The sequence below is a fragment of the Homo sapiens genome, chromosome 15 (genome assembly GCF_000001405.40).
Source record: "Homo sapiens chromosome 15, GRCh38.p14 Primary Assembly".
Taxonomy (NCBI): Eukaryota; Metazoa; Chordata; class Mammalia; order Primates; family Hominidae; genus Homo; species Homo sapiens.
This window is the reverse complement of record NC_000015.10, coordinates 83,578,431-83,602,567: the sequence shown is the minus strand read 5'-3', so window position 1 is coordinate 83,602,567 and position 24,137 is coordinate 83,578,431. Positions and strand designations below refer to the sequence as shown.

Here is a 24,137-nt window from a genome sequence, read left to right as displayed (position 1 = left end):
GATTAGGTCATGAGAATTAGTGACTTGGGGGTAATTAGGTCATGAGTAGGATTTGTGCCCTTATAAAAGGGACCTGTGGGAGCTTGTTTGCCCCTTCTGCCATGTGAGGACACAGCTAGAAGGTGTCATCTATGAGGAATGGCCTCTACCAGGCACCAGTTCTGCTGGCACCTTGATTTTAGACATCTCAGCCTCCAGACTGTAAGTAAAAGCTACCCAGTCTAAGGTATTTTGTTACAGCAGCCCAAACAAACTAAGATGCCATTACAACTGGATAGCAGCTGCCTAGCTAGAGGTTGTACTTCCCAAGTTGCTTTGCTACTAGGTGTGGCTGTTTGAGCGCTCATCCCTGGAATGTGTGTGTCATTTCCACCTTGCGGGTGTAAGAGGAAATATCTAACCTAAATGTTTGTTCTTTCTCCCCTTCCTGCTGGCTGGAGTGGCAACAACTAGGAAGCCATATGATGAAGATGGCAGAGCTGCCATCAGCCTAGACCCCTGAGAGACTCTATGCATTAGAACCACCTATCTTCTTGGAATATTCTCCCTGGACTGTGGCAGGAGTGAGGAAATCCTATTTTACTGCATTTCGGTTTTATGTTTTGTTTTTTTTTTTTTTGAGACACAAACTAGTGTTAGCATAATACAATATAAAAAGTCTTCAGAGAAACCCTGAACAGACCAATAACAAGCAGCAAGACTGAAATGGTAATTTTAAAATTACCAAAAAAAAAAAAGTCCAGGACCACATGGATTCACAGCTGAATTCTATCAGACATTCAAAGAAGAATCGGTACCAATCCTATTGACACTATTCTACAAGATACAGAAAGAGGGAATCCTCCCTAAATCATTCTATGAAGTCAGTATCACCTTAATACCAAAACCAGGAAGGGACATAGAAAAAAAAGAAAACTACAGACCAATATCCCTGATGAACATAGATGCAAAAATCCTTGACAATATACTAGCTAAATGAATCCAATAGCATATCAAAAAGATAATCCACCACAATCAAGTGGGTTTTATACCAGGGATGCAGGGATGGTTTAACATACGCAAGTCAATATATGTGATACACCACATAAACAGAATTAAAAACAAAAATTACACGATCATCTCAATAGACACAGAAAAAGCATTTGCAGAATCCAGCATCCCTTCGTGATTAAAACCCTCAGCAAAATCGGCATACAAGGGACATACCTCAATGTAATAAAAACCATCTATGAAAAACCCACAGCCAACATAATACTGAATCGACAAAAGTTGAAAGCATTTCCGCTGAGAACTGGAACAAGACAAGGATGCCCACTCTCACCACTTCTATTCAATATAGTACTGGAAGTTCTAGCCAAAGCAATCAGACAAGAGAAAGAAATAAAGGGCATCCAAATCGGTATAGAGGAAGTCAAACTGTCACTGTTTGCTGATGATATAATTGTATACCTAGAAAACCCTAGAACCCTAAAGACTCCTCCAAAAAGCTCCTAGAACTGATAAATGAATTCAGCAAAGTTTCAGGATACAAAATTAATGTACATAAATCAGTAGCTCTGCTATATACCAACAGAGACCAAGCTGAGAATCAAATCAAGAACTCAACCCCTTTTATAATAGCTGCAAAACAAAAACTTAGAAATATACCTAACCAAAAAGGTAAAAGACCTCTACAAGGAAAACTACAAAATACTGCTGAAAGAAATCACAGATGTCACAAACAAATGGAAACACATCCCATGCTCTTGGATGGGCAGAATCAATATTGTGAAGATAACCATACTGCCAAAAGCAGTCTACAAATTCAGTGCAATTCCCATCATCAAAATACCACCATCATTCTTCACAAAACTAGAAAAAACAATCCTAAAATTCATATGAAACCAAAAAAGAGCCCACATAGCCAAAGCAAAACTAACCAAAAAGAACAAATCTGGAGGCATCACATTACCTGATTTCAAACTATACTATAAGGCCACAGTCACCAAAACAGCATGGTACTGTTATAAAAATAGGCACATAGACCAATGGAACAGAACAGAGAACCCAGAAATAAAGCCAAATACGTACAGCCAACTGATCTTCGACAAAGCAAACGAAAGCATAAAGTGGGGAAAGGACACCCTATTCAACAAATGGTGTTGGGATAATTGGCAAGCTATGTGTAGGAGAATGAAACTGGATCCTCATCTCTCACCTTATACAAAAATCAACTCAACGTGGATCAAGGACTTAAATCTAAGACCTGAAACTATAAAAATTCTAGAAGATAACATTGGAAAAACTCTTCTAGACATTGGCTTAGGCAAAGACTTCATGACCAAGAACCCAAAAGCAAATGGAACAAAAATAAAGATAAATAGCTGGGACTTAATTAAACTAAAGAGCTTTTGCAGAGCAAAAGGAACAGTCAGAGTGTACAGACAACCCACAGAGTGGGAGAAAATCTTCACAATCTATACATCTGACAAAGGACTAATATCCAGAATCTACAAGGAACTCAAACAACTTAGCAAGAAAAAAAACAAACAATCCCATCTAAAAGTGGGCTAACGACATGAATAGACAATTCTCAAAAGAAGATATACAAATGGCCAACAAACATGAAAAAAATGCTCAACATCACTAATGATCCGGGAAATGCAAATCAAAACCACAATGCGATATCAACTTACCCCTGCAAGAATGGCAATAATCAAAATATTAAAAAAAATAGATGTTGGCGTGGATGGGTGAAAAGGGAACATTTCTACACTGCTGGTAAGAATGTAAACTAGTACAACCACTATGGAAAACTGTGTGGAGATTCCTTAAAGAACTAAAAGTGGAACTACCATTGATCCAGCAATCCCACTACTGGGTATCTACCCAGAGGAAAAAGAAGTCATTATACAAAAAAGATACTTGCACACGCATGTTTATAGCAGCAAAATTTGCAATTGCAAAAATATGGGACCAGCCCAAATGCCCATCAATGAGTGGATAAAAAAACTGTGGTATATATATGTGGTAGAATACTACTCAACCATAAAAAGAAATGAACTAATGGCATCTGCAGCAACCTGGGTGGAATTGGAGACTATTATTCTAAGTGAAGAAACTCAGGAATGGAAAACCAAACATCATGTGTTCTCACCCATAAGTGGGAGCTAAGCTATGAGGATGCAAAGACATAAGAATGATACAATGGACTTTGGGGACTTGAGAGAAAGGGTGGAAGGGGTAAGGGATAAAAGGCTACAAATTGGGTTCAGTGTACACTGCTCGGCTGATGGGTGCACTGAAATCTCACAAATATCACCACTAAACAGCTTACTTATGTAACCAAATACCACCTGTTCCTCAAAAACCTAAGGAAAAAAATTAGAATACCAAAAAAATAAAGAAAGGAAAGGGGGAGTGCTTCACATGGGAAGTTGAAATTCTCCCCCAACTACAGAAATATAAAGCGCAAAAAAATAAGTAAATAAGAAGAGATAGAAAATTGGCACCAATGAATTCTACCTTGAAAATATATCTGCTTCATCAAAATCTTTAAAAACAAACAACAAAAAATAGTCTTCAGAGAATTGTACCTAAGTATCCTCTTGATACGTTTTTTATAAAATCAATTTTATTCAAATAACTTTCACTGAAACATTACATCAAAAAATGTAAACTGAAAACTAGTACCACATGCTATAGAGACTGTAAGCATGAAAATAATTACAATGGAAAATAGACAATTTTATTACATCCAAAAGATACATTCTGTAGTCTGTAAATGACTTTTAACCGGAGGCCTCTCCTCTCTGTTAAAATTGAACATTAAAAATACTCCAGCACAAAACTGTAGCTTATCTCCTTGAAATTGGAATGAATATAAGAGAATTGAAAAAAAGAATATTTTCTCATCATATGAGTCAAGATTCTTTGTCTCTATCCATTCAGCACCTAAAGCCATCCTGGGGAGAAGCAAAGATGCAACCAGTGAGATAAGTGGCATTGAATGTCTTAAGGGAAATTTCCATTAATATGGCACAATGAAGTACAGGACTGCAGCCTTCCTTTCATGTACCAAATCCCTATCACTTACAAAATAGGACTTTTTAAGGTTGCAAATAATGTTGGAAAATGAGACTAAATACTGCTGGTAGACCAGAAATTATGAGGAATACAAGAATGCCTGGAAGATGGAAAGCAGCAGATGGAGGAAATGAGGTTCAAAATGGCTCCCAAAGCGGAATGCTGTGACAGTGAAGTCTAAGGGCGCTCAAAACTCAGTGTAAGTGGATCCTGAAAGCTGGCTGGCTTTCTGAGAAAAGAGCAGCCAGGTGAGTCCACTCATCCTGGGTTTGTACCAGTGCCAGGAGCCCTGGCAACTGCCTTCAGGAAGGGGTACTGAGTGAGTGTGGGCATCTGAAACAGAAAGTCAGGGCAGTGCCATGGATGATAGAAACAATCAGAAAAACAGAAACCAGTCCACTGCACTCAACAGAACATCCCTTATTTCCCCTTAACCACAGGAGGCAACCTCATAAGCACTCTCAAATAAAAAGTTGTGCACAGAGCCAAGAATCATCAATGTATGAGAAACAACTTCATAAAGTAGACTCCAGATCCCAACAAACACTCAAGGAGATAAGAATTAAGTGGAGACTTTTTAAAAAGCATAATTAAGGGCCAGGCGTGGTGGCTCACGCCTATAATCCCAGCACTTCGGGAGGCCGAGTTGGGCAGATCACGAGGTCAGGAGTTCGCAACCAGCCTGGCCAACATGGTGAAACCCCGTCTCTACTAAAAATACAAAAATTAGCCAGGTACGGTGGCAGGCACCTGTAATCCCAAGTACTCGGAAGGCTGAGGCAGGAGAATCGCTTGAACCTGGGAGGCGGAGGTTGCAGTGAGCCGAGATCGTACCATTGCACTCCAGCCTGGGTGACAAGAGCGAAACTCCATCTCAAAAAAAAATAATAATAATTATAATAAAATAAAATAAAACTAAATAAATATAAAAATAAAAAGTATAATTAATATTCTCAGAGGAATATGAAAGGTCTAGTTACTTGTAAAATTTTTTAAAAATGTAAATTTGAACACTATCATGGTAGGCAGAGCAATAGCCTCAAAGATGTCCACTTCCTAATCCCCAGAACCTATAGCTATGTTACCTTACACAGCGAAAGGGAATGTGACGATGTGATTAAGTTACAGATTTTGAGATGGGGAGGTTACCCTGGGTTTATGTGGGTAGGCTCAGTATAATCACAAGGGTCCTTATAAGGCGGAAGCAGGAGAATCCAAGTCAGAGAAGGAGATCTGACAATGGAGGCAGGGAGATCTGAAGATGTCATGCCACCAGCTGGGAAGCTGGAGCAAGGGGCAATGAGGCAAGGACTGCAGGCAGCCTCTAGAAGGCAGGAGAGGCAAGAAAACAGATTCCACCCTGTGTGGAATGTGAACACCTTGATTTGAGGACTTCTGACCTCCAGAACTATAAAATAGATCATACATTGTGTTATTTTAGACCACACAGTTTGTGGTATTTCATTGCAGCATCAATAGAGAACTAATACAATTGGAGTAAGAAATTCAATAGATATGCTAAATAAATAACTGGATCAAAGAATAAAGTAAGAAGGTGAAATGTCCTCAGAGGGCAGAATAAAAAAACAGAGGTACAGAGAGCAAGGAGGAAAAGACTTTTTGTCCGAGGAAGGACAAAAAGTTTCAACCTCTAGTAGTTGTTTACAAGGGCAAAAAGAAAGGGAATAGAGGAGAAGGATATTTAAGATAGTAAAAAAAATAAATAAATAAATCAGTGGGGGTGCAGTGGCTCACGCCTATAATCCTAGCACTTTGGAGGCCGAGGTGGAAGGAATGTTGAGCCCAGGAGTTGGAGACCAGCCTGAGCAACATGGCAAAACCCCGTATCTTAAAACAAACAAACAAACAAACAAAAACACACTTTCCGTGTTTTAAAAAATGCAAGTAATCAGACTAAAAGGGTCAATGCGAATGAGGAATACGGAAGGGAATGTAGCCAACTTCCCATACTTCTGGATACAATTGCCAGGAGAAATAGACAAATCCATAACTATAATCAGAGATTTTAATACCCTCTGCCACAAAATTAATAGGAAAACATAGACCAAAAAATCAGCAAGAATATGGAAGACTTGAAGAACTCTATTAAATAATTTGACCTAATTGACATTTATAAAGCACCCTACCCAATAAGAATAGAATACACATTCTTTTCAAGTGTACACAGATCATTTACCAAGATGGATCATATTCTGGCCCATCAAGCAAGCTTCAAAAAATTTAAAAGGGTATGATTCATACAAAGTATCTTATTTGATAAAAAATGGAATTAAATAGGTATCTAAAACAGAAAGAGATCTGAAAAATATCCACATATGTGGAAATGATATAACACATTTCAGAAGAAACCAAGAGTTAAAGAGGTTATCAAAAGTAAAATTAGAAACAATTTTAAAGAGGATGAAAGGGAAAACTCAACACATCAAAATGCATGAGATGGTGCTCAAGTGGTACTTAGGGGGAAATTGATAGCGCTAAACACATATATCGGAAAAGGCGAAAGGACTCAATGACAACAGAGAAAACTCAATGAGACAGAGAGCTGGCTCTTTAAGATCAATAAAATTGATAAATCTATAGCTAAAATGATTAAGAAAAGAAAAAGACAAAAATTACCAATTTCTAAAATGATTGAGAGAAGTAAATCACTACAAATTCTATATATCTTAAAAGGATAATAACAGAATATTATGAACAACTTTATGCAATAAATTTGACAACTTAGATGAAAGGGATAAATTCCTTGAAAGACACCAACTTCTAAAGTTCACTCAGGAAGAAACAGATAACCTCAATTGCCTTCTATCTATAAAGACGTTGAATTTATAGCTTAAAGCCTTCATGCAGGAAAAAAAAAAAAAAACAAGGAGTAACTTTACAGAGAGCTGACAAATACTGCCTCAGCCAGCAGACCAAGATCAATATCAGCAGTGATTAATCTTGTTGATAGGGCATATTCTTTTTTTTTTTTTTTAACTTTTAGGTTCAGGGGTACATGCACAGGTTTTTTATATGAGTAAACAGTGTATCACAGGGATTTGGTGTGCAGATTATTTCGTCACTCAGGTGATCAAGCATAGTACAGGGTAGGTAGTTTTTCAATTCTCACCCTCCTCCCAACCTCCACCCTCAAGCAGGCCCCACTGGCTATTATTCCCTTCTTTGTGTCCATGTGTACTCAATGTTTAGCTCCCACTTACAAGTGAGAACATGCAGTATTTGGTTTTCTGTTCCTGAGTTAGTTCACTTAGGATCATGGTCTCCAGCTCCACCCATGTTGCTGCAAAGGACATGATCTCATTCTTTTTTATGGCCGTGTACTGTCCCATGGAATATATGTAGTACGTTTTCTTTATCCAGTCTGCCACCGATGGGCATTTAGTTTGATTCCACGCCTTTGCTATTGTGAATAGTGCTGCGATGAACATACACGTGTATGTGTCTTTATGGTAGAATGATTTATATTCCTTTGGGTATATATGCGGTAACGGGAATGCTGGGTCAAATGATAGTTCTGCTTTAAGTTGTCTGAGAAATTGCCAAACTTCCTTCCACAGTGGCTGAACTAATCTACATTGCCACCAGCAGTGTATAAGCTGTCTCATTACTCTGCAGCCTTGCCAGCCATCTATGATTTTTTGACTTTTTAATACCAGCCATTCTGACTGATGTGAGATGGTAGGTGATGGGATGAGAATGGCACTTTACCTCTGTGATCTTCTTCCCAGAAACTCATAACTCCAGTCTAACCATGTAAAGACATCAGACAAATCTCAACTGGGGGACATTCTACAAAATATGTAAACAGTACTCCCCAAAACTGTCAAGTTCATTAAAAACAAAGAAAGTCTTAGAAGCTGCCACAGCAAGAGAGGCCGAAGGAGATGTGAGGACTAAATGCAACGTGCTATTCTGGATAGGATCCTAGAACAGAAAAAGAACAGCAGGTAAAAACTAAGGAAATGTGAATGAAGTGTGGACTTTAGCTAATATAAATATATGTTCATTATATAAAGTAAATGTGCCATACTAATAAAATGTTAATATAGAAGAGTGGAGGAGTATATGGGAATGCCCTGTGCTATCGTCACAACTTTTCTGTAAGTCTAAAACTATTCTAAAATTTAAAATTAATTTAAAAAAACTTTCCCACAAAGAGTTTATCCTAGGGATGCAAGGTTGATTTAACTAACAATGTAATTCACCATATTAACAAACTAAAACTAAAAAATAAACGATCATCTCAACAGATACCAAAAAAAGGCATCTGACAAAATTCAAAGACTGTTTCTCATTAAAACTCTCTTCAAACTATTTATGACTAGAAGGGAACTCTCTCAATCTGATTTTTAAAATCTATGAAGGCCAGGCCTAGTGGCTCATGCCTGTAATCCCAACACTTTGGAAGGCCGAAGCAGGCGAATAGCTTGAGCCCAGAAGTTCATGACCAGCTTAGGCAACAGGGTGAATCCTCATCTCTACGAAAGATACAAAAATTAGCCAGGCTTGGTGGTGTGTGCCTATAGTCCCAGCTATGTGGGAGGCTAACGTGGGAGGATCTTTTGAGCCTGGCAGGTTGAGGTTGCAACAAGCTGCGACTGCGCCACTGCACTCCAGCCTGGGCAACAGGGCAAGACCCTGTCTCAAAAAGAAAAAAAAAAAATCTATGAAAAATCTACAGCTAAAATCATCCTTAATTATGAAGTATTGAATGCTTCTCCCCTAAAATCAGAGACAAAGCAAGGATGTCCACTCTAACCCTTTGTACTCAGCATGTTCTAGCAAGTGAAAAAAGGCAAGAAAAACAAAGGCATGCAGATATTGAGTAAAACTGTCTTCATTTATAGATGACGTGAACATCTATGTAGAAAAACTATGGAATCTATTAAAAAACTACTAGACCTAAGATGTAAATTTAGCAACATGGCAGGATACAAGATCAATATACAAAAATCAATGGAATATTATGAATGCTAGAAACAAAAATTCAGAAATGGAAATTTTATTAAAATGCTGTTTGCAATTGCATAAAGATATAAAATACTTAGAGATTGATGAAAAAATTTAAAAGACCTGTATATATTCTAAAAATAGTGAAACACTGCTGAGAGAAATTCAAGAAGACCTAAATAAATGGGAAATACAATAGATTGTGTTCAAGCCTGGAACACTCAATATTGTTAAGCTATCAATTCCTCTTAAATTGAGTTATAGATTCAACCCAATCCAAATAAAAATCTGAGCAGGATTTTTTTGAAACATTGAAAATTTGATCTCTAAAACTCACATGAAAATGCAAAGTAACTAGAATAGTCAAACAACTTTTAAAATGAAGACCAAAGTTAGAGGACTAACAGGGCCTGACCTCAAAACTTATAAAGCTACAGTCATCAAGACAACAATTGTACAAGAATAGAAATGCAATGATAGTGCACTATGTGATACTGCTGTGAATATTATTTCTGTGCTCATGACATTGTAAATAAGTGTTAGGCGATGTAAAAATGGAAGTTTTGGATGAGGCCCCAGAACTGTTTTTTTTTTGTTTGTTCTTTTTTATTAAACCGATGTGCAGAAGACAACTTATGCAGGATTTGGAAACAAACAAAAACAGAAGAGATGAGGGTAGCCAGTTTTATAACTTTTAATCCCAGCCTACATCTATGGCATAAATAGGTCAGAAGATGGAGATTAAAAAGGATTTTTAGAAAAATGTTGGAGAGAGTGTGGAGGAGGCAGGATGTGTTGTGATCTTTTCATTTCACACCAAATCAAGAGAGAAGAACTTTTAAAAGATTCCTCAGCGAGCTTAAAATACATTCTCTGGGGACTTAAGAACAGAAGGGGTAGATGGGGAAAGAGAAAAAGCCAAATACAACCTCTTCCCTGACACCAATGTTCCCACGGCAACAGGCCAGAGCTTGGGGAGGAGTGAAAGCCAAACTTTAAATCAAGATTATAGCTTTGACCATGACATGGGTCTTAGCATTTTGACTACTGCACGAGCCTGCACTTACACATTCAAGTGACTGGAGAACTTATGTGACCCAAGAGTAGTCAGAAAAGTCATGCAGCCTGCTCACATTTTCATCCGTGAGTAGGCAATTTAAAATAAGAGCAGGGAAAAAAGGGGAGGAGTGCATTTTAAGAGTCCCACATGATGGAAGTGATGATTACACAATGAATATTTATTTAACAAAAATAGTGATTATAAGTAAATTGGAAGGGTGAAGGGAGGGAGAAGTCTATGGAAGACCAAGGGTTAGGAAGCTAAGCCATTATCTTCCATATCAGGAAATCAATACATTTATCCAAACTGAAGAATCAGAGTAAAAAAAGAAATAGTAAAAAACAAGCACCATGAAGTTAAGTACCAAATAAATATGTAAAAGAGTTGAAAGTGTTTCCTCTGAGAGCAGAAAATAAGCACTGGGAAAGGAGTTGATGGGGAAACTGCCATTTCTCACGAAAAAGCTTGCACCATGTTTTTTTTAAAAATGTATACACATGGCCCGGCCTGGTGGCTCACAGCTGTAATCCCAGCACTTTGGGAGGCCAAGGCGGGCGGATCACAAGGTCAGGAGATCAACACCGCAGTGAAACCCCGTCCCTATTAAAAATACAAAAAATTAGCCAGGCACGGTATCGGGCGCCTGTAGTCTCAGCTACTCGGGGGGCCGAGGCAGGAGAATGGCCTGAACCCAGGAGGCGGAGCTTGCAGTGAGCCGAGATGGCGCCACTGCACTCCAGCCTGGGTGACAGAGCAAGACTTTGTCTCAAAAAAATAAAAATAAATAAAATAAAAAATAAAAAAATGTATACACATATACTCTGATAATTTGTAGTTTTAATAATGAGAAAATTCATGGGGCCTGCCCATGTTTTCACACAGAGGTAGAGGTAACTACATTTGCCTTTTTAAAACCACATACGTATATTACCATTTTCTTTTTAAACTACATACACATATTACTCTGATAATTTTTGTTTTTAAATGAAAAAAAAAAACCTTTAAGGATAGCCATAAGGTTGGAAGAAAATTCACACTGTGCAGCTTATATGAGCAATGTGTGTTTGAAAGGGCAATTGGACATCCATAGGCAAAATAAATGACTTAAGTCTCACATTTATACAAAATTAACACAAAGTGGACTTAAGAAAAAACATAGGAGAGGCCGGGTATGGTAGCTCAACACCTGTAATCCCAGCACTTTGGGAGGCTGAGGCAGCCAGATCATTTGAGGTCAGGAGTTCGAGACCAGCCTGGCCAACACAGTGAAACCCCATCTCTACTAAAAATACAAAAATTAGCTGGGCATTGTGGTGTGTGTCTGTAGTCCCAGCTACTCAGGAGGCTGAGGCAGGAGAATTGCTTGAACCTGGGAGGCGGAGGTTGCAGTGAGCCGAGATTGCACCACTCTACTCCAGCCTGGGCTACAGAGTGAGACTCTGTCTCAAAAAAAAGAAAAAGAAAAGAAAATATTTATTATTTAGGGCTAGGCAAAGAATTCCTAGACTTCACACAATCTATAAAACTAAACATGAATACATTGGACTTCATAAGAATTAAAAATTTTGATCTGTGAAAGACCCTATTAAGAGGATTAAAAGATAAGCTACAGAGCGAGAGAATATATTTGCAAATCACATATATAGAAAGAACCTGTATTGAGAATAAATCAAGCATTCTCAAGACTCAACAGTAAAAATGTAAACAATCCAATTAGAAAATGGACAAAAGACATGAAGAAACATTTCACCAAAGAGGATACACAGATGGCAAATAAACACATGAAAAGATATTCAACATCATTAGTCACTAAGGAAATGCAAATTAAACCCACAGTAAGATTAATTACACACCTATCAAAGTGGCTAAAATAAAAAACAGTGACAACAGCAAATGCTGGCAGGGATGTGGAGAAACTAGATCACTAATATATTGCTGGTGGGGATGTGAAATGGTAGCACAACTCTGAAAGATAGTTTGGGAATTTCTTTTCATTTAGAAAAATAAATCCTTATGATAAAGATCTAAATATTAAGAAAAGATTATTCAAAGTAGTAGAAAACTGTAGAAGAATAACTTCAGGGATAGGAAGACTTTTCACAACAGGGCACAAAATGTAATCATGACAGGGCACAAAATGTAAAGTCACAAGCAAAAGACAGACACATTTGACTACATCAAAATAAAAGCTTCTGTATACTCAAAGCAAAACTAAACAAAGCAAACAACAGCAAAAACAACAAAGGGACAAGGCACTCCAAAAACAAAGTTTAAAGATAAATGACAAACTAGGAAAAAAATTATTAATATCCTCATATGGAAAGAGCTCCTATAAAACAATAAGACAAAGCAAACTACTCCCAAAAAACACAAATAAATGACATAAACAGACAATTCAGACATAAGGAAATACAAATTAAAATATAGAAAAGAAAGTTCACCCTCACTAATAATCATGAAAATGCAAATTAAGACTGGATACCATTTTTTTCTCATGAGTGCTTGGCAGAAATGGAAGTCTACTGGCATGGGTGTGGGGAAGCAGGTGTTCATGCTTTAATAGTAATGTAGCCAGCACAGTGATAAAGGATACTCACTGTAGCAAATAACTGGAAAAAACCTTAACGTCCACCAATAGGGAAATGGTATAATAGAAAACTATGAAGCTGTTAAAACAGTGGGATAGATCTATATGCATGATATGGAAATAACTCGAAGAAACAGTGATACATTTTAAAAAGCAAACTGCCAAACAATATGCCTAGTATAATCTCGCATTTAAAAAACAGAAAAAAGGCTGGGTACAGTGGCTCATGCCTATAATCCCAGCACTTCAGAAGGCCGAGGCAGAAGGATTGCTTGAGCCCAGGAGTTGCAGGCCAGCCTGGGCAACAAAGTAAGACCTTGTCTCTACAAAAAATAAAAAAATTTGCCTGGCAGGGTCACATACACCTGTAGTTCCAGCTACATGGAAGGCTGAGGCAGGAGGATTGCTTGAGCCCAGGAGGTCAAGGCTGCACCGAGCCATGTTCATGCCATTGCACTACAGCCTGGGTGACAGAGCAAGACTTTGTCTCAAAAAAGAAAAAAAGAAAAAACAGAAAAAAATCCAAAACGCTGTTTATGTGTATATTTATGTACCTCAATAGATATGATAATAGTTATACCAAATTTTTTTAACAGTGGCTACATCTAGGAAGCGAACTGCGATGGTGTAGGTGATCACAAGAGACTATAGAATGACTTATACCATTAAATTTTTTTTTCTGTTTGATTATTTTACCAATTTTTTTCTGTTTGATTATTTTACTAAAAGACACATTTGCATCACTTGTTTAATAAAAAATAACGATGCAGCACTTAAGATAGTATCTAGCATATAGCAGTTGCTCAAAAATGCTAATTTCAACTTAAAAATAAATTAAGAAAATATTTTCAAAGAGTTAAAAAAATAAAGGATGATGTAGCCATAATGGTTCTATGGCCAAGGTTCTAAATGCTACATTATATAAGTGATAGAATTCTTCCCCAGGGAACAGAAAAAAGGGGCACGTTTAGGGGAAAAGGGAATTTACCAAACAACCAAAGAAAGATATCCAGGGTCTGTGTGTATTCACTGACCCAGAAACAAGCAGTAAATAAGTGTTTCTAGAAGTGCTTTACTAAAGGCACACTTAGCATATTAGAATGGTCAACTTACCTGTCGTCTTCACTACAGAGGTGGTGGAAACTCCATTGAGCTCACTAGAACTCCTTTTCACAGGCCTTGGCTTGTATTCTCGTCTGGGGACACTGGATGCAGCTGATATTCTGTAACACACATCGTAAGATGAGCCAGACATCTGATGTTGAAAGCTTTCCAAACACACATCCTCTCTGCCTTGTTGAGCACAGGAACTTAGGTTACAGCCAGTGGTCATGAAAGGGACGATTTTTACACACTGACTCTTGAGTAGCCCGAAGTGATGGAGGTGATATCACAAATGCAGTTTTTCAACTCCCTATTTGAGCTTGTGAGTGAAATTCATCTTGAAGAAGACTAATTGGGCCAGCCATGGTGGCTCATGCCTGTAATCCCAGCACTTTGGGAGGCCAAGGTGCTCACCTGAGGTCAGGAGTTCGAGATCAGCCTGGCCAACATGGTGAAACCCCATCTCTACGAAAAATACAAAAATTAGCCAGGCATGGTGGTGGGCGCCTGTAATCCCAGCTACTCGGGAGGCTTAGGCAGGAGAATCTCTTGAAACTGGAAGGTGGAGGCTGCAGTGAGCAGAGGTTACGGTGAGCCAAGATGGCGCCACTGCACTCCAGCCTGGGCAACAGAGCACGACTCCATCTCAAAACAAAACAAAACAAAACAAAAGACTAATTTTCTTCATCAAGTCTCTGAGGCATCCAGCAAGTGCCTGGGACGCGGTCGGCACCCAGTGATGGGAGCTGCCTTCTCCCTCACTCTACTCTTATAGATTATGATAGAATTATGAAAATACACTCCTGTCAGTAACAGGTAAACTATCTGCCTGCAGAAGTGGATGCTTCAGGGACTGAACACATCTTTGTCTTCCCTAGGTAACTACGTCATTGATTTAAGTAAAAATCCCTCCAAATTTATGCATTACCATAATCCTGTGTAAAACAATTTTCTGTTATCAAACCTAATTTAAAATATTTTAATAAACAGGGTTGCCATGCAGACTATATATAATATTACTAATTTTCAGAAAAGTATAGACTACATCTATGATTAAATTCACAAGGAATGCAGAAACCTTTCTTTGATTGTTCAGAAGATATTTTTGACTCTTTCAATACCTGTCAATATTATGAACACAGCCTGAAATTTGTCAATATTTTGACTCTTTCAATACTAGTCAATATTATGAACATATCCTGAAATTCGTACTGGTGAAGTGAAGGCACTACCTTTTTTTTTTTTTTTTTTTTTTACAGATATTTACATATTTTCCATACAGCATCTCACTTTTTTCCATAGCTCTGGATGTTTTCCATCCCTTTGTGAATGGGGAGTTAAACTCTCATCAAATCAGCAATGAAGCCAGGGTAGTTCTGTAGGGGTTGATGTCCCAGGTGGGAGAGCAACTTGGTTAGTTGCCCTAAACACGGGTCACAAAAAAAAGGGATTTAATGAAAAGAAAAAGGAGAAAAGCTGCCAGGTCCCTTTTCCCAGTTCTATCCTACTGGCCAAAGCCAGTACTTATTATCTCAGTCCCATCCCACATCCAACCATGAAAGCCAGTGAAAGAAAATTCAAAACAGAATGAGGCAGGGGAAGGGGGAGATGGAGAGATGGAGAGACAGACAGATGGATTTCAATAGATGTTACCTCCGCAGCCCTTGGCTTGTAAGAAACGTGGAGGTGCTTACCGCATCTGTAGCTTGCTCTGCAGCTCCTGCAGAATCTCTGTGGACTGTCTGTGATAGTCTAATGCTGCCTCTATGAACACAGCCAACTGGCTGACTTGTTCTACCTGCAGCAGAAGTGCAAAATTATTCCATGGAGGCCCGAGCCTGTGTAATGTCCAGAGAGAGAGGAGACCAGCAGCAAAGACCTAGCTTTGCAGGGAAGACCAGTGTCTGCCTTGGTCCATTTCATTTAATTTCATGTAGGAGCTCTGTATAATAATCATACAGGTCATGGTATGGAGCTATAAATGCTGGAAAAACATGTTCAAATTTATTTGTGATTATGAATTTGATTTAACTCAATAAAATGCCTGTTTTTCCAATTAGATGATGATTTTTCTCAGCAGATTTTCTATGCTATAAAGCTCATGGATCTGAAAACAGAGAGATAAAGCTCTTCCAGTTACAAACGAAGCCAACATTTAGCAAAAGAACTGCCTACTTTGTCAAGTGTCTCAACACGCACTTTCTAGCTAAGCCAAATCAAGACATTAAGTACATTAAACAGTTAAGAACTGTAAATGAAACAGATAAGAAAGGGGGCCAGGGAGCAACATGTGAACTGGGGCAAAGATTTCCCTGTCCCCTCTATGCGTTTTGTTGCTATCCACTCAACATATTTTCCCTGAAACATAGAGCTAAAGGGAATGAACTATAAAGACACTGGCATCTCTGTTTCCCACAAATCAAGACATTCATGAAATTAATGACTAACTTACAATGAATTTTTTAGAGCTGTGTCTCATAAGGAAAAACCTGGATGATATGGGGCTGTATAATTTGAGGAAAAGCAATCTAAGGAAGGCCTGAGAGCTTTCCTGCTCCCCCACGTGTCTGAGGGGCTGCTACAGGAAAGAGATTAATTAAGCTTATTTCTGAAAGCCCCAGAGGCAAGCTCCAGAGGGTTGAGGTGATGGGCCTCCCCCAGCAAGAATCCAATCAACTCTAGAGCTGGACAAAGACACAAATCAAAATCAATCCTACACTTCCCAGGCTTCCCCAAAGCCTATGCATCATTTCCATACTTCATTTTCTACTCAGCTTTAGGGCAAAGTCTGCCTGCTGATTCATTTATGCAATCTCACCCTGCCTAACCAACCATGGACTTAGCCTTCAAAGATCCAAGCTACTTTCATTTGTAGTTGCAAATCATTCTTTAGTTGCCTGTACTTAAATTTTTCTTACTCACTTATACTATTTTAAACACGGGCTCAATATGCATGTAAGAGACACATTGAATTCCATGTGTGCCAAGCTGTGATCAGCATCCGAACAATGAAATCCTGTCGGGTTTCATTTACTTTACCATGCTCTGTGGCTGGAAAAGCAACAAGCCTAGCCTTAAATTTCCAAAAACCCAATAAACAAAACAAAGACAGCCTGGCCCCTACTAAATCCTAAGGATTTCTTAAATTTCATCTCTTTGGCTTTTACACGTACTTTTAAATAAGTCCAGGGCCATGGCCTAGCACGATCGTAGTAGAATTTGTTACAGAAACAATTTTTCTTCCTTACAGTGCTAGAGTGGTGTGCTTGGCAAAATCTATGCTATGCCTCTCTGCCTTTAGTAAAATTTATTTGCCCTGTCTTATTACCCACTTTAAAAAATGCTTGCATTTTATAATTTTTAAAGAAATAGTGAAAGATAGCTAAATTAATATTTCTTGAAACATATTTGGGGTTGGGGAACAGGAAGGGGGCAAGGGGATTACCAGCTATCCTCCCTGTCGTGGCTAAAACACAAGGTGATGTAATCTAGAGATGCATTCGTAACTGCTCATTGGGTGGCTGACTTTGGGAAGGAAATGAATCCTGAAAACCCTTAAACCTTGGGAAACAATGGCAGCACTGCCCAATGCTTGCACCTAGCAGGTGCTCAGTACAAGTCCTGAAGGGCTGGCTACTAGGCTGTAAGTCTCTTGTTGACAGTAAAGACCAGGTGTGCTACGATAGATTATTTTCCTCTTGATTTCAGAAAATTGAAGCTTCCAGCTGTCCCCCAGGTCATGAGCATTGAGCTGTGTGCTGGGGACCATGGGGACCAACACAGGTACATTCAGCTTCCTGAACCACGATTAGAAATAAATACCTAGACAGGCAGAACCAAGATAAAGCAACAAACTCAGGCTTAGCAAGAGCCAAAACCTGACCAAAAGGTAAAACATTTCTTCCATTGTTGGAATTTCAGCAGTCCATCTGTTGAATCAGAGAAAGTCACCTGGGGTGGGAAGAAAGGTTTAATTCCACTTCCGGGTTGAGACCTGGGCTGACACTGTGCTGGTGCCATCTTGAGAGCAAAGTGTGACCTCACCCATGAAAATGTTCACGTGATATACGCCAAGGAACTGGATTTCCAGAGAATCCACTCCCTTTTCTGAAAGTGAAGCACTCTAGCTCCTACAGATGGGCTCACACTCAGCTGATGTTTGAAGTGAGAAACTCATAATGCAAGCTGACTTCCATGTAGGTTAGAGGTCAAGGAGGCACAGGCCTCGGTGGTTGACAAATGTGTGAAGTGAGGGCTGTGAAGAAGCAACTTGGGAGACACACAGAACCATAAAACCAGAGGGGGCCTGAGGTAGACAGAATCATGGAACCTGCAAAGATGTCCAAATATTAATTCCCCAAACCTGCAAATATGTTACTTTACATAGCAAAAGGGACTTTGCGGTTATGATTGAGTTAAGGATCTTAACATGAAGAGATTATTTTGGAACGTCTGAATGGCTCAATGTAATCACGAGGTCCTTTAAGGGGGAGACAGGAGTGCCAAGGTCAGAGAAGATATGACAATGGAAGCAGAGGTCAGAATGAGATACGTGAAGATGCTGTGCCGCTGGCTGTGAAGAGGGAGGAAGCGAAGAATGAGCCAAGAAATGCAGGTGGCCTGTAGAAGCTGGAAAAGGCAAAGAAGCAGCTTCTTCCTCAAGAGCCTCCAGAACAAACATGGCCCTACCCACACCTTGATTTTAGGACTCTAGGCTGGAAGACAATAAATGTGTGTTGCTTTAAGCTACAGTTTGTGGTCATTTGTTATGGCCCCAATAGGAAACTGATACAGAGCTGCTTTAGCCCATCCTCAAACTATGCAAAAACCTAACAATGAGATTAGTGCTGCCCAGGGACCCCCATTCATGGTGATGGGAGTTGTTGCCTGGAGACGCATAAGAACCAAGCTCAGGGGGTAATGGGCCCATCGTGGCTGGGCCTGGGGACTTCATTGTTGGTTTGGCTGTATCCCAGGGCTCCTCACTCTCTTCTGAGGGATAACCCCAAAACAGGAATTAACTCAATTTATCTCCCATGGCAGACTATACACAATAAACAATCCACAAGTGACACACGTGTGTCACCTGTGGATGCATTTCATTCCAAACCTCTCTATAGCTGGAAACCAATGGATGATTAGCAGCATATATGGCCGTTGGGAGTATCTTAGTCCTGGGGATGGAAACAGAGAATAGATGTCCCCAACTACAATGGACTAAGGATACTAGAAGTTTCTAGGAGTTATGGAAACCCCAGGGACACTTGCATAAGATCTGAGCCATTGGCCTGGCCTTGTGAGCCAACTGCAAAAGGCTTAGGCTGTACCCAAAGGAAGAATGGCTCAAAGGACTGCATACTGTAACCAAGGCTGTCTTAGGCCAACTCTGCAAGAGGACTATGGAAACTGGGGTGCCTAGAAGGAGCAGGGCTGGGAACCCTCCTCCTCTGACCCTTTAGCAATCCCTTACCAGGGGACTTGGTGAGCAGCCGGGTGAGTAAGCAGAGAGTAGCACACCCTGAAGCCCATGGCGAGGACAGAGAGAGAACTGTGATGTGAGTAGCTGATGCCTGTCCAGACGCCTGGGGTCTGCAAGTGTGTTTGGCATGCAGGAATAAAGAAGTGTACATCTTCAAAAGACGACAAGCCATTCTCTTTCACAACTGAAAAGGCACATTTCCCATAGAGGTCACCTTCAATTTACAGTGTAATAATACCAGTAATTTCTTGCTCTATCATATCAAAGACCTCTACTCTTTTTGGATTCCTCAGAGAAGCTGTGGAAAATTTCTCATGTATTTTGCAGTCTGGTCATAAACAGATGACTTTTCCAATGGGGCAAAAGCCTTTATTCAGAGTTTCTGAGAAAGTTTGAGTAAGGCAATTAAATTAATAACATGGATAATAATCCCTTACACTTTTATTCTCCACTTTATCCTTCTAAAGAATTTCTCAAATGCAGTTGTTAATTTGCCTGATACCAGTCAGGTGAAATGATTTTCCCAGAGGCTTAGCAGAAACAAAATCAGAAACAGAATTCAGGTATCTCACGCCTTGCTGGGTATGCTTTCTACAAGTTCAATACTTCCTAATGCATCTTATTCCACACATTACAGTCCTGAAACATTAGTAATAATATAATAATGTGACGGAATTCTGCGGTCAAATAAGTTTGGTAAACTGCCAACTGTATTTTCTGTTAGGAACCGCTTAGAGATTAATCTTTCATACTGTCAAATAAAGACTCTGAAAAGTCTTGTGATAAAGAAACTGTTTAGTTTTATTTAACCCAGGGTTTCCCAAACTTATGTGACCACAGAGACATTATTAATGCAAAACACACTAACATCCCATGGAATGGATTTTGGAAAATGCTACTCTAGACCAATGGAAAGACCTCAGGAATCTGGAATCTAGTAATTCCACTGGTCTTGGGAACCCATGAATGGAAGGAGGATCCCGTAGCTGGTGAATGTATACCAAGACAGCCAGTACTGCAGGTGCCTGGACTCACTGGACTGAAATAGGCATCTTCTATGGAATATCTCTGATTTCTGCTAATGTCAAAGACCTACATTTGCTACTAGTAAGTTGTGAGGAATAATGAGGAATAAACTTCTCTGCAAAGACAGAAGAGGTGACAGTGTGTTAACAAGCCTATGGGTGATATAGTGTTCCCAAGATACGGCAATGAAGGCTGGTAACCAGTCTGCTGACTTTCCCACACTTTCCTCCAAGAGGAGGGCTGCCCTGGTTACTTCTCAGGACCCTGCCAAGCCCAACTTGGCCTGGTGAGAAATCAGTCATGGGACTGCCCCTCTTGGATCCCTGGAAAGTTGGAGAACCAAAACACCTCCTGGCTTGCATCACTGCCTATAGAATAACGACACTGCTCAGCCTCAGGCAAGATGTGAAGAGATGCTCAATGTCTCTAATCCAGCTCCCATTCACAAGACAACCAAAGGCTACAGTGTGGGGCCGAAGGAGACTCTTCTTCATTCTCCCATTCCCAGTTCTGCCAAAAATAGATGAGAAAATAGATAAAACTTCTGCTTAGGAATGTTAGAGTTAGCATGTCATGTCTCTCTACCTCCCCTTCCTTTGGTGATTCATCTAACTGGTGAGATTACGGGAGTGGCACCCACTTGGCCCTAATAACCAGGGTACCTAGACACTGCAAGGAAAGGCAGTAGGGGCCTGGCTCTGGGCTCCGGATTTCTCAAGAAAGTGGGTTTGTGAAGTGGCCACAAGATCGTGTGTCATCTGGCTTTGTGGTCTCTGCACCCGCTCTCTCTGCAGGGGCTCCAAGGTCTAGACTTCAGGCCAGGAATAGCTCACTGGACTTCTACTGTGGGCCCAGGCCCAAGCTGCCCCTTCCAACATGGCTTTCTAGAGAGCCCTGCTCTCTGAGCAAGGGGCTGGCATGTGATCTCATGTGGCTCCCTGGGTTTGTTTCTCAGTTGGGAGAATGCAGAGGTGAGGACAGTGAACAACCACACCCTGGAAATCCCTGCAAATGGCCTGTTGGCCAGAAAACCCTAGGAAGTACTACATCTGGAGACCCAGGAAAGACCAAGTCTGTTAACTCCAGTCAGGGTTCTCCTCACATCAGTCAGAGTTTTGGCAAACAGTTTCTTTTGAGGCATTCCCCGGTGAAGCTTTTATTGCGTCTTAGCCAGGATGATGAGACATGAGGGCTGGAGAAGGCACCAGCTCTTCCCCCAGGGTGAGATTTTGGTCTTTGAATTGTCAGTGCCAAACAGAGATGGACAGGTAGCACAAGAGCACCAAGCACACCCATCTCAGAGGATTTCCCTTCATTTGCTTCTCTGCTTATTCACTTTCTCTTTGGAGCGAATGCTTCTAAGTCCTCTCGCCAGGCCCTCCTCTTCCTCCTCTTGTGGATGAGGTTGGGGGTGCTCCCTAGTTAGTAGGATGGGTTGCTCTGCCTCAGTCACTGGCTCTGCAGGGTTGGGGCCAGCAAGGCTCCCACTCACCCAGCTTCAGCGTCTCAGGCTGTATCTGGGTGGTAAGACAGGCGGGCTCTCCCCTAGAGCTGGCTGTCATCCACCGAAGGTGCAAGGAGGGGAAAGTGCCAACAGGACTTTAGGCCCAGGCCATGTCCTTCAGCACAGTTGACCAGGAGGTCTGTATTTTACAATTTTCAAGCATTCTCATCAGTTAAAGAGATGTCCCTTGATTCCAATCCGGCTTTTTTGTCACTTCCTCCATTGGTCAGAACCCAAAGGGTGAATGGCTGTGACTGACATCCCCAAACTTCCCACCACAGTAACAGAAGCATGTCCCACTTGTGTCTGGAGGAAGTGTCAGGGCCTCTGCTGCCTGCCACCAGGCTTCCCTTGCAGCCACTCATTTGACAGTTTGTGCACCTTGTCTCCAGCAGGTACCAGATCAGGTAGAAACACCGTCCAATCCATCAGGCAGCAGCACCCAAAGACCCACTGTGTTTGACATGGCGATTAGAACAGGTCCCAGCCATCTTTAGTTTCTGCCAGGAAATCCAGCCCTCCCCAGCCATCCCGAAGCACAGCTCCTCATGCAGGACTTCCCCACCAGGAAAGGAAGCAACATGGCAACAAGAGGTTGAGTGACCAAGGTTGGACGTGCGGGTTGTGACTCACAGGGAGCAGGAAACCAGAGTCCCATGGGCTACAAGGCCACCAGCTCTGGCCTGGTTGTTGGAGATGGGCCAAACACAGGGCCAAGGGTTCAATGTATGCCCCATCAACCATGTATTGGCATTTTGTCTTTCTCCCAACTAGTCACATTCTCTGTTTATCCCCAAGCACCAGGCAGTATCGGCATTGGCATGTCAGGTCCAAGGAGTGACCAGCAGGAGATTTTTCTCTAGCTTGTCTGGTCAACAGGAGAGGATGGTCAGACCACCTGGCTATGGCACAGACACACTGACATGGAAAAGGATCAGGTGATTCCCTCTGATCTAACTGCTGTTGACCCCAAGAAGAGAGTAAGATGGGCTTCTGAAGCCTAAACAATCATCTCTGAGTCTCCTCAGCTATAAACCTGGGTAGGAGAAAAGGTAAACGCACATGCACCATGACAGGGACCATCAACAGCACCCCCTTAGCCTCTTTATCATGGGGTGTCAGTGAATGGTAGCTCTTGTCATTGTCATCATCATTATCACCACTGTCTTTATCATTATCACGATCACCACCATTACCGCAAGAAGCAGCAGCCAGAGCACACCTAGCAGCCATTGCAGCTACAGATGGCAGGAAGCAGGAAGCAGGAAGGAGGGAAGAGCCTAGTTCCCGGGCAGCCTGGGCGGCCCATCTCCGTTTCATAACGTTGGTCTCCTCCCACCTCAATGGCAGAAGTAGAAGCCAGACAACCCCTCCTTGTGAAGGTGAAGACCCCAGGATCCAGGCTGAGGGAGCAGCCCTGACTCCCCAGAGCTGAACAGGGGAAACCTCCACTCACCTGCAGGTCAATTTCCCACAGGAAGCCTTGGAGGAAACACTGCAACCAGGCCGGAGCAAGGCCAGCACCAGAGCCCCTGCGGAGCTTGGGCTAGGAACCAGCTCTTACTTCTGCTGGGGCAGGGTGGGAGGACTTAACCCATTTGTGACAGGCAGAATACGTGTTACTGTCAAAACATGGACAAATGATTGAGCTTTTATAATGAAGGGATCCTTTTTGACTTTTGACTGATACTGAGGGGGAAAACTGAGGTCTCTTGGGTCAACTGCTAAGGCCGGCGTGGCTCAGACAGGCTTCCCTCATGGAGCACTTCGCAAAAACCCATCATTGTGGTTCCCGCATGAAGGCAGTGAATGGAACAAATGGGTCAGACGGCGCATCTGACACACAAGACACAATCTCAGAGTTTAAGCCATGAATGGGCCTGGAGCCAGCAGGGCAACATTCCATATGGCCCAACAAGGAGTATCTGATACATGTCACACTTCAAATACATTTTCTAAAGACTTCAAAACAATACGGCAATCTGAAACAAAACAAAATCGCTGTTGCTTGGGGACAATTTCAAGAGGAAATTTATACATTTAAAGAAAAACAGAGATACCAAACTGTCACACCTCCTCCTATTTCCCAAAAAAAATGTAAAAAAAAAAAAAAATTAAAAGAAGAAACACAGTAGAGTGTACTTTTCAGGCCTCAGTGGTTTAATGGGCATGGGAAATTTCAAATTGGCATTTCCAGTTGGGAGAATAAATTCTCCAGGATGAATGTCTTGTTAGTATTGGACATAATTCCTCCATACATCACCATGGTAAATAAAGGGTGCTCAATGCATTTTGACTTGACTCAAAGGATGTAAGACCTCAGTGTACCTTTAAATAAACT

At 40.9% G+C, this 24,137-nt stretch overlaps 1 protein-coding gene across 24 annotated transcripts in view, besides 1 other annotated feature; it reads right to left on the bottom strand.

Annotated features, from left to right (window-relative positions):
- Nucleotides 1–24,137, bottom strand: part of SH3GL3 (SH3 domain containing GRB2 like 3, endophilin A3) — a 186,480-nt gene that overhangs the window by 31,253 nt on the left and 131,090 nt on the right. For 20 of the 24 annotated variants that reach the window (XR_007064483.1, XR_007064484.1, NR_136711.2 and 17 more), the window contains 2 exons: nucleotides 15,482–15,585; nucleotides 13,797–13,906 (listed from right to left, as the gene is read on the bottom strand). Coding sequence is in view for 13 of the 24 variants with exons in the window: in NM_001301109.2 (NP_001288038.1) it covers nucleotides 13,797–13,906; nucleotides 15,482–15,585 (214 nt within the window). In the remaining 11 variants the exon portion in view is untranslated. The other 4 variants (NR_136714.2, XR_007064486.1, XM_047432940.1 and 1 more) reach the window with 4 other exon arrangements.
- Nucleotides 7,727–7,896: an enhancer, noted in NCBI's record as "experimental_41536 CRE fragment used in MPRA reporter constructs". NCBI's record gives its function as "activates a minimal promoter by MPRAs in K562 erythroleukemia cells, with activity observed for both the introgressed and non-introgressed 15:84263509 variant alleles {active_cell/tissue: K562}" and the evidence as "EXISTENCE:reporter gene assay evidence [ECO:0000049][PMID:34662402]".